Consider the following 11,599-nt stretch of genomic DNA (forward strand, 5'->3'; position numbering starts at 1 on the left):
TATTAATTCTAAATACCTTGGTGTAGCATAAAAAGTTCTCCACTATCATCATCCTCTGCAGTCCTCCCGGGACTCATGCCTCAGTGACGCTGATCCACCCTCTGTTCCTTGCAAACATTCAGTACTAACTTTGCGTCCTTGTACAAACCACATCTACTGCCTGAAAAACTATAACAATGGCAACAATGGGCATTTATTAATTACATACTTATCAGAAAGGATTGATTTGTAAATCACTAGAATTAATCACCGAATGAGTTTGAACATTGGTATACTGACTTACCATGCAGGGATATTAAGAAACCACAGCACAGTTATCCATTGCTTCTGGGACTGAAGGAAATATTTAATTGTGTCACCCAGAGAATATCATCTTATATTAAGCGAGGCTCAGACAGGAAAAAAAAAAAAAAAAACATTCTAGGTATTTCTAGCAGGAAGGGCTTTACAATAGAGGACTGGAGGCATATAAAACCATTGATGAACCAGATGCATTCTGAAAGGTCAGAAAAAAGCTCTGCTAGCTTTCAAGTTCCCTCTGAAGTTCACAGGATGTCATGACTGCCTGGAACACCAAATTACGTGATTTTCAGAGACCACTGCAAAACTTTTCATTCACAGGCTAAAGCTCATACAGTTGTCTGCCTCTTCTGGAAGATCACTAATATCACCTTGTTTCTCTTCTACCTTCTGCATATCATGGGAATTCCTTTTATTGGTGCAATATAATCTGGAAACATGTTGATAAGGACTTCTTGTAAATGTAGTTTCCAGGCCTTTAGCCTATGAGATATAGGGGAGAGTATAGAGTATGGTGCCATATTGTCAACAGACTATCAGGCACAGATGGCATTTATGTTTCTTCATATTGTGGTGAGAGAAATGAGAAGAAAATCCTTTTTTTAGGGCTTCCATTTCCATTCTAAGTAGGCAGTGACTTTTCTTGTCTAAAGAAGTTTAAACTTCCTCCTCTCATCACCATAGCATGCAAATGAATACTGACTGTAAAGAAAATAAAGGTACAACGACATTGTAAACACACACAAAAAACAAATGTTCTAAGGGCTGCAGTCATTTTCAGGTTAATAATCAAGGTCAGAGGTCAAGAAACTTTTCCTATAAAGGGATAGATGGTAAATATTTTAGACTTTGCAGGCCCTATGGTCTCAGTTGTAACTACAGGCATACCTCAGAGATATTGCAGGTTCAATCCAGAGCACAGCAATAAAGTGAATATTGTATTAAAGTGATTCACAAATTTTTCTTTGTGTCTCAATGGATATAAAAGTTATGTTTACACTATACTGTACTGTAATAAGTGTGCAATAGCATTATGTCTAAAAATGTACCTACTTTCATTTAAAAATACTTTATTGCTAAAAATTGCTGACAATCATCTGAGCCTTTGGTGAGTCATAATCTTGTTGCTGGTTGAGGGCCTTGCCTCGATAGTGATGGCTGCTGACTGATCAGGGCATTGGTTGCTGAATGTTGGGGTGGCTGTGGCAATTTTATAAAATAAAACAGCAATGATGTTTTCTCCATTGATTTACTGTTTCTTTCATGAAAGAGTTCTCTGTTGCCTGTCATGCTGTTTAATAGAATTTCACTCTCAGTAGAGTTTCCTTCAAACTTGGAGGGAATCCTCTTAAACCTAGCTGTTGCTTTATCAACTAAATTTATTTAATATTCTAAACCTTTTATTGTCATTTAACAATGTTCACAACATCTTCACCAGGAGGAGATTCCATCTTGAGAACTACTTTCTTTGCTTACCTATAAGAAGCAACTTCTCATCCATTCAAGCTTTACCATGAGAATATAGAAATTCAGTCAAATCTTCAGGCTCCACTTCTAATTCTAGTTCTCTTGCTATTTACATCACATCTGCAGTTACTTCCTCCACAAACGTCTTGAACCCCCTGAAATCATCCATGATGGTTGGAACCAACTTTTTCCAGATTCATGTTAATGTTGATATTTTTACCTCCCATAAATCACGAATGTTCTTAATGGCATCTAAAAGAGCAAATATTTTCCAGAAGGTTTTCAATTTGCTGCACTCCTATCCATCACGAGAATCACAATCTATGGAAGAAGCTATAACCTTACAAAATGTATTTCTTAAATAATATGACTTGAAATTTAAAATCACCCCTTCATCCATGGGCTGCAGAATGCATGTTGTGTTAGCAGGCGTGGAATCATTAATCTCTTTGTACATCTTCATCAGAGCTCTTAGGTACACTGTCAGTGAGCAGTAATATTTTGAAAGAAATCTTTTTTTTCCAAGCAGTAGGTCTTAACAGTGGGCTTAAAATATTCAGTTAAGCATTGTGTTAACATATGTGCAAACATCCAGGCTTTGTTGTTGCACTTATAGAGCACAGACAGAGTTGATTTAGCATAGTTCTTAAGGGCTCTAGGATTTTCAGAATGGCAAATGAGCATTGCCTTAACTTAACATCACCACCTGTGTTAACCCCTAAAAAAAAAGAATCAGCCTTTCTTTGATGCTTTGAAGCCAGGCATTGACTTTTCTCTAGCTATGAAAGTCCTAGATGGCATCTTCTTCCAATATGAAACTGTTTAGTCTAAAAACAGTTAAAAACCTGTTGTTTAGTATAGCCATGTTCATAAATGATCTTAACTAGATCTTCTGCACAGCTTGCTGCAGCTTCCACATCAGCACTTGCTGCTTCAACTTGCAGTTTTATATTATAGAGACAGCTTCTTTCCTTAAACCTCATGAACCAACCTCTGCTAGCTTCAACATTTCTTTTGCAGCTTCCTCAACTCTCTCAGCCCTTACAGGATTGAAGAGAGTTAGGACCTTGCCCTAGATTAGACTTTGACTTAAGGGAACATTGTAGCTGGTTCGGTCTTCTGTCCAGACCACAAAAACTTTCTCTATATCAGTAATAAGGCCATTTCTCTTTCTTATATATTCACTGGAATAGTATTTTAAATTTACTTCAAGTGCTTTTCCTTTGCATTCACAACTTGGCTACCTGTTTGGCACAAGAGACCTAGCTTTTGGCCTATCTTGCCTTTTAATTTAAAATGAGAGGGGTGAAATTCTTCCATTTACTTAAACACTAAGAGGACATTGTGGAGTTATTAATTGGCCTAATTTCAATATCGTTGTGTCTCAGGGAATAAGGAGGCCTGAGGAAAGGGAGAGAGATGTGGGAAAACAGCTGGTCAGGGGAGTAGTCAGACATGTACAGCATTTATGATTAAGTTTGCTGTCTTGTATGGACATGGTTCATGGCACTCCAAAACAATTGCAATATCAACATCAAAGATCATTGATCATAGGTCACCATAACAGATATAATAATAAAAAATTGAAACATTGCAAGAATTACCAAAATGTGGCACAGAGACATGAAGTGAACACAATGTTGGAAAAATGGTGCTCATAGATTTGCTCAGTGCAGGATCAGCACAAACCTTCAATTTGTAAAAAATCACCATATCTGCAAAGTGCAATAAACTGAAGCAAAACATAATGAGTACCTCTGTGTACTCAACTCTGCCCTGGTAGTACTAAAGCAGACGTAGACAATCTATACATTGAAGGTAGCTGTGTTTCAATAAAACTTTATTTACAACAATAAGAAATGGGCCATAGTCTTCTGATCCCTGACATAAATTAATAGTAAGAAGCCAGAAAAAAAAAACTAAAGTAAAAAATTAAACCAACTTCCTCCACCAAAACAAACAAACAAAATTTCAGCTACCTGTTAGAGTTGCCTATGACAATGTCAATGAGGGAGGCAGTGAAGAGGGAGTAAAAATTATTTGCTGAGCTGTTTTGGTTAAGGGGGTGGGAGAAAAGGTAGTAGCTGTTCTTACACTTTGGTGAGAAGGAAGCAGAGACTAATAACAGAATCCATGCACATCTTTGTAGTTGCTTATACATGTGAGTATGTATAGTCCCTGGTACATATAATTCTCATTATACAGTTTGAACCTGGGAATTCTCAACAAAACCTTTTTAACACCATTATCAACAGTCGTTCCAGTGCAAGTAATGAAAACCCAATCCAAATTGGCTTAAGCAAAAAGGCAGGGTGCCTTGGCTCTTGTTCCTGAAAACACCAGGAGTATTACTGACTTGCTGTAAAGTTGGCTATAAGTGTGTGGGCAATATCAATAGAAATCAGTGTCTACATTGCTCAGCTCAGATACTCTCTGACTTTCTTTATTTTTACTCAGGCTTACTTTCCCTTTGGGTGGGGCACATATGATCTTCCAGCCTTGCAAGCCCAGTGGGAAGAGAGTGCCACCTTCCTTATGGTTCTAGAAAAGTTCTAGGGCTGACTCTAGTTGGCCTGAGCTGGGCCTCAGGCACAATGTGGAGTCAACTATTCTGGCAAGAGGGAAGGGAAATGGTAATCACCTAAGCTGAGGTTATGTGCCTCAATGCAGATGGGGGATCAACCTCATCTTAACCACACAGACTGAGAATAAGGGAGGAAGCACACTTTCGAAAAGGAAAATTGAAATGTTGTTATCAGGCTACAGTGAAATGCACACTAGGCTGGTAAAAAACATGAGTCTACTAGTTGGGCTTTATTTCATAAAGTTCCAAATTATGTTACACATAATTAAGCACAGATGTCTGAAAGAGATGGGCTTATCATCATAGAGTTATGGTTCCAATGTCCCTCTAAGTAGTGGTACTATCTCAGCCATGGGCATATAGCTGGTATGAGGCAGATCAATAAATAAGGTTGAACAACCAAAACGAACTTATTTCAGTAGGATAAGTATAGCAAACTTTCCTGGGAGGACCTTTCTGAAGATCCTCAAACAAGATGGAGACCATTTTATAAACCAGAATCATTTGATCATTTGTTCTTGTTTTTCTTTAGTTCTCATGAAAACAGTTAATGAGAGCAGGGGGTGGGGTGGAGGGTGTTACAGATTCCTTTCTAGGATGCTGTGACACTTGACTTTACCTTTCCTTTAGCTTGTTCACTGAACTGGATAAAGACTTTGAAGCTTTTAAAAGCAAAATGCATATAGATTTCATTTTATCAGGTTAAAGAGATGTAAGTTTCATCTTGCCTGAAACAGACTCTACCCTACCAACCGTGGATATGCGATTTCAGCGTGGCCACCAGCACCGCAGTGTGAACAAGCACTGACCTTTTAGATTATTGCCTAAGCCTTCATTAAGAAGAGCATCCAAAATGACAGCCATGCCTCTAAGGAAGCCCAGCATTCCACACTGGTAGCCCAAGCAGTGAAAATTGACTTGGCGTGGGATTCTCCTCTCCCGGGCCCCCATACTGGGAGCCAGGGGCACAAGACAGCATGTTGGCAGATTCCAATCACTTAGGAGCTTTCCTTTATGACTCTGCTTTGTAAGAATGCATCTAGTTAAATCCACAGGGTCATTGACTGTGGCTTTCAAAACAGGAGGTTTTATGAAGGAATGCAGACCTGGAATCCAAGGTTCAGAGCCCAGACCTTCAAACAGATTAATCGCCATGGGGAGCGTCATAAGAGTTTTCCAACTTTGGCTTCATCCTGTGCCCTAGCAACCACAGGGCCCCTATTCAGCAGACCCAGGTTTCCACTATGGTGTCTTGGACAGAGCATTGGGCGGGGAGCCAAGAACTGGGCTGGTCTCATTTCAGCTCTCCAACTGGCTTCTTGTGTGCCCCCTTGAGCAGGTTCTTAACTGCTCTGTCTGCATTTCCAGATTATTAAGTTAAGAGGAGAACAATAATTCCTTAAGACACACGCAGTTCCAGGGTAGGGGGTAGAGGTAAGACAGGTGGATGAGTGTGTGTGTGTGTTGGGAGGGTTGGTGTCTGGAGGGCAAGTAAATCATTTGTCATGGAGAAAGCATCCTGCTCTGTCTCGTGGGTAAAACAAGTAACTATCTGCTGCTTTTACATTTGCCTTCTGATAGGATAAAGAAGAGAGATGGGAAGACAAAAGAAACAAATAGGACTGAGATACAGATGAAGAACTGACAGTCTATCCTGTGAGTTTAATGTAACCTTCCTTAAGAATTTCTGGAACCCTGTATTTAAATTTAAAACCATATATTTTTTCCAAATTTGAATTTTAAATTACATTTTTCCCCAAAAAAGGGGACATATGAGAAATGCTAAATAAATATTTGTCATGTCAGTAAGATAATTTTAAATGTTTTCTAGAAAGCCATCCTAATTAGCAGGTAGATTGCCTTCTGTACCAGACAAGGCAACCTATGGGATGTCCCTTCGGCTTAATCATGGTAGCTAGCATTTACTGAGTGCCTACAGTGTGCCAGACATGGTGCCCTCACACTTAGATATGGGTTGTCCCATTTCTTCTTAGCACTAGCTGCATACAATAAGGTGTTTACTATCATCCTGATTTTGTAGATTGGGAAACTAACATAGATGTATAGGAATTAACCACGTTTCCATGAGGTTGTAAAGCTGGGTTTTGAACCCAAGCAGTTGAGCTGATTCTAGAGTCCAGGTACTACCCCCTTCCACTACTCTGCCAGTGACTTCCCTGTCTACCCATTACTGTCATGTGAGACGAGAGGACCTGGAACTGAAGGCACCCCCCAAGGAAGTGCTGGTCCCAGGCAGGATTGCCAGATTTAGCAAATAAAAATACAGGATGCCTACTTCATTTTGAATTTCAGATAAACAAAGACCGTTTACTATAAGTATAACCCATGCAATATTTGGGACATACTTATACTAACAAATTATGTGTTGTTTATCTACAGCACATAAATTCAGATGTAACACGGTGTCTTATATTTTATCTTGCAATCCTCTCCCTGGGAGACATGGCTGCTATAGAAGAGTTCATTCCATAAATCTTGGCCAGTCTGGGATCTCGAAGGAAAGAGTTCCTTTTTATAACTTAACACTTAGTTTCTATCTCCCACCTAAACTGGGGTCAAAGTTACTTGCTTTTCCAAACTGGTTGAAATCGAAGTGCCTTAGGTGTTTGTAGTGGATATAGATGACTTAGCATAAGGGAAGGATGGGTACCTGATGAATAAACGGGCCACTGTGTTTGTGGGAGGAGTTCAGAAGCAATTTCTGCTCAGATAGCTATAAGAGCTGTAGACCTGTACCCTCTAGCTGCCTGTCACTCAGAGATATATTTTCTTTGGCTCAGTAATTATTGCTAAGGCCCTGTCCTTGTCCACTACAGTCTCCACCCATCTTATTTTTTTCACACTTGGTTTCTGGCCTGTTCCACTCCTTTATGTTATCTGTCTGTATCCTCTCCCCAGTCATTTGAGTTGATAACCCCTTTTAGGAATATAGCACCCCAGGAGATAACCAGAATTCAATTTCAATTTTAAAACTGCATTTGATTAGATATCATGATTTAGGCAAATGCATGCAGGTTTTAATACAGTTTATGCAAATTCCCAACGATCCTTCTATTCCATTCAAATGGCAATGGCCACTGGTAAAATCCTAGTGGAGCCCACAGGTAAAGAATGCATGTGTGTAATTGAGCATTGGATTGAGTTGAGATTCTCTGAGCCTTGAAAGGGCAAATGGTATAAACATTAATAGAGGCTAACATGTAGAGGGAGGCCTAAAAGGCTGGACTGGAATGTGTTTAGTTTAGAGACAAGGAGGGACTTAAATGCTGATTTATAAACAACCCAGAACCAGATGCAAGAATATCTGTTTTCTGTGAATATGATGTATCCTTCTTATAAGAGTCTCTTCCTCCAAAGAAATAAAAAGATCTGCCAACTATTTAAATGAAGAAAAATGGTTCTTGTACTTTAATTTTTGCCTGCTCTGTTATAAGGCAGATTTTGAATTAGGAAGATTTCAACCTTAATCATGGCACCATGTTCTGAAGAGAATCATGTTGCAAATTACTAATTGAGATCAGCTCAATTGTAGAAAAACGTTGTTTAGGATTTTAAGAAGTGATGTTAATAAATTATGCTCAAAATGTCATCAACCACCTTTTTTTTTTTGCTTTTGATCTTGTTAACCCCTTTTATTGAGCATCAGTGGATTAAAGAAAGTATTGATCATGGAAGTTATTTGAAAATTTTACAGTGTGAAAGGGTATTGGTGAAACTATTAAGTGGTTCTTCAACTTCCTTTGTCTTTGCTCAAAACAACTTCTGATTTATAAATGGTCTGGCCCATGTGTGAAGAGACTGGCTTCTACAAATGAAAACTAACGTTTGGACCAGGGAGAAAAATGCATCTCAGATTACTTTCCTCTTTCTAACCTTGAGAAAGATAGGTGGTGAGAGGACATTGTAGGCGTTGGATATGGGAGTGTAAATGCCAAGGCCTGTTATGTATTTAAATCTGGCTAGTAACAATTTATCTTCATGTTCCTTTTATCCTCACACAAACCATTAGGTAATCAAGTTTAGACTATTCGCATACGTGTTTTCAATATTTATCTTCAGGCCATTTAAACCAAGGTGCATTTCCATGATTAAAAGTGCACAATAAGGAGAGTTATGAAAAATGACTATAAAAGAAGAAAATTGGAGAGATAAGCTAAATAAACGAAACCAATTAGAAAACAGGCTTCACAAAGAGATGAAAATACATGTAATTTTGTGGAAGAAATAGATAATGTTAGTTAAAGCTTTATAAAGTGCTTGTGGGGAAATTAGAATCAGCCATTTAAATGTGAGCAAGAGATGAACTGGTAATCAGTGGGGTTGATGGAGTGGGGGAATAAATTATTTGAAATTCAAGGTTTTAAATAGTGTTTCAATAGTGTTTTGAGAAAGGATGTCAGAAGACCAACATGGGCAAATTACAGAGATCAAGATGGGAGGTAGTGAATTAACTTGAGGAGCCTGGTGGAGGAAAGAAAAAGAGTGAATTTTAGAAAGATGTAAGTGTGTTTAGGTGGGAATGAATAACATACTGAGACTAAAATATGAATATGTAGCAGTAATAGATCATAAGATTCAATAGTTAAAATGATACAACTATAATAGGAAATAGAAAAGACAAAGCAGATGGAAAATAAGGTATTTTTTATTTCTCTTTTAAGGTTAAGATTTCTGATTGCAAATGGAGGGGAATAAATGTCAGGATAAATAAAATTAATGTGCATTTGACAAATAAAGGAAACAAATACCAATGAGAGATGCAATTACACCTCCCCCACAAAATACCCTAAACTAAAACATATTTAGCAATTCTTGATTTTTCTAGGAAGCAGTCCTTGAATATTTTTATATAGCCTCTTCATGTATTATTGTATTCAAATCCATCAAAGTCGTACAATTTCTAGCATTTTTCTCTCTTAATTTGCAGTCATATTTGTGTCTTAGACCAACATTATTTCTCATTTCTATCACACATGGTGAGTTTCATGTCTCTTTCAGTATTTCCCAAGGGCAAGGAGCAGATTTGTTATTTCATTTTCTTTCTCTTTTGGGGGAAAAGCACCTGCTCCAAGTGATTTCTCAATATTTTACTATTACACAAAAAAATTAGGAAGGGAAGAGAGTCATATTTTAAGGATTACAGACTAAAATTTAGAATGAAAGTTAAATTCAGAAATAAGTAACCTGGATAGAAAAATATTAACTGATGAGAGCCAATTCGAGCCAATGTCTAACCATAGGGAGGTCACTATGACCTTGAAGGAACTAAGATGTTTCAAGTCAGAAATGGTAAGTTAACTCCAGCATTATTTCACCTGAAAAGGCATATCCACATATACTTACACAAATGGATGTTTTTCTTTTCTTTGGGCAGGCCAAACCCATTACATAATTTTTCTAAAAAGGGTTGTCCTTTTGCTCTGCTGATAACTATAGAGTGGTTTGTACCTTGGCAAGATGAATGTCCTTAAGCCCTTGTCTCTTACCTTGAATTTGACCAGATTTGCTCCCAAGCATTTTCAAAGGCATTTGAATTCATTCAAAGGCAGAATGTCGCATCTCTGCACAGTAAAATGAATTTAACAACCAAAGCCATGGAGAAGATCATCTGGTAGGCCTCAATGGCAGAAGGGTGGTCTACTGACATGCTTTTTTTTTTTTTTTTTTTTCATATGAACGATAACCTGGTCTTTGAGGAGAATCACAACTATAAGGCATAAAATTAACAGTGATTGTTAATTTAGAGGCAGAAGCAAAAGACAGGCAACACTTTACGGAGGTGTTTTCATGTAACTTATAGTAGGAGCCGATAGATTCAGGTGCTGTTTCATTAACTCTTCTGCCTTCAACTCACTAATAGGCTTGTTGGCAGAATGCAGAGATCACACTATTCCTTATTATCAAAGGACCACTTGAATTGGGTCCCTCATATTAGGTCTCAATAAGGCCATCTCCCTGTTCTGAAGTGACTTCCCCCAACTGCATGATTAGGGGTATCCATTTGCAGTTTTCCAGTACAAAACAAATGAAAAATTTTTCTGTGAAGCAGAAGTCTGTATTATAAGGCACTAAGTATTCTTTATGTCACCAGCAAGATTTAAGGAGAGTGTGGATCTTTTCTTTCCTGAAGTGCTAATGTGGCACTTCCTGGAGTCAGAACATGGCACAGGGAGCTGACGATGTCATTATGCACTTTGAAACTCTGAAAATTACTTTCAGCTGAGCTTCTACATGATTTTGGCTCTTGACTCTATCAGGTGGGGGCAGAAATTGTTTCAATGGAATGAGACTGAGAAGAGGTGAATTTGTAAGCATGGCTTCCAAAAAAAAGAAAGCACATTTCATGGCGCCTGGTTAAGGCTTTGGATTGTGGGGTAGGGATTTGAATGGTCTGTTGCTTCATATAAATTGAAATTCTTTCTGGATTTACCTCTAGTCTAGGTTTGAAAGGGTTTGGAAATTTTTTTTCCTCCTCCTCAGCCTTCTTTATTTTTAAACCTCTCCCCACTGGCATTGCAATTTTCTTTCCAATTTTTGTTATTTCATATTATAATAGAAGCTAGGATTTCTTTTCCCCCTATTCAGATCCTTTTTTTAAAAAATTTTTCCTCCAACTTTCCTTTCTTCATTTCTTCCTCAAGTCTTACTAGTGGCCAGGAACAGTGTTGGAAGTGAGGCTGTGAAGCAAACAGATGATAGAACTGCAAGGAGAAATAGACACATGAACTATATGAGACTGTATCAGTAATTGGCAGAGAAAATAAGTGACTTCAAAGCTTACAGTCAGAGACAGGCAGGATGATGAAACAGATGATAAGTCCTCTGTCATTAGAGATCTTCTCCCTGGGTCATGCAGAGAGGACAAACGAGAGGGTCTGGGAAGGAGTTTTGAGCTAGATTGTATGTTCCATGAGGGCTCCTGACATTCCTAGCACTGAGTAGCTAGTATCACTTAGGCATTGAAGGAGCTTCAGTACTGGATGGTTGCATAGGGGATGAGAGGAGAAAGAAAGAAGGAAGAACTGAGACAATTTAATCTTAAAAAATAAGTGAGTAGATAGCTAAGCACACGAGAATACTATACCTGGTCCGAGAGTTCAGCTGCTTGAGAGAGTAATGCAAGGGCACAGTTTGAAAACTTTGGGGACTTGTATATATTGTTTATACATTTATATATATTATGCTCTGTTGGGGCACGAATTATGTATTTTTATCTTTTTAACCCTC

Source organism: Homo sapiens, chromosome 12 (assembly GCF_000001405.40).
Source record: "Homo sapiens chromosome 12, GRCh38.p14 Primary Assembly".
Lineage (NCBI taxonomy): Eukaryota > Metazoa > Chordata > Mammalia > Primates > Hominidae > Homo > Homo sapiens.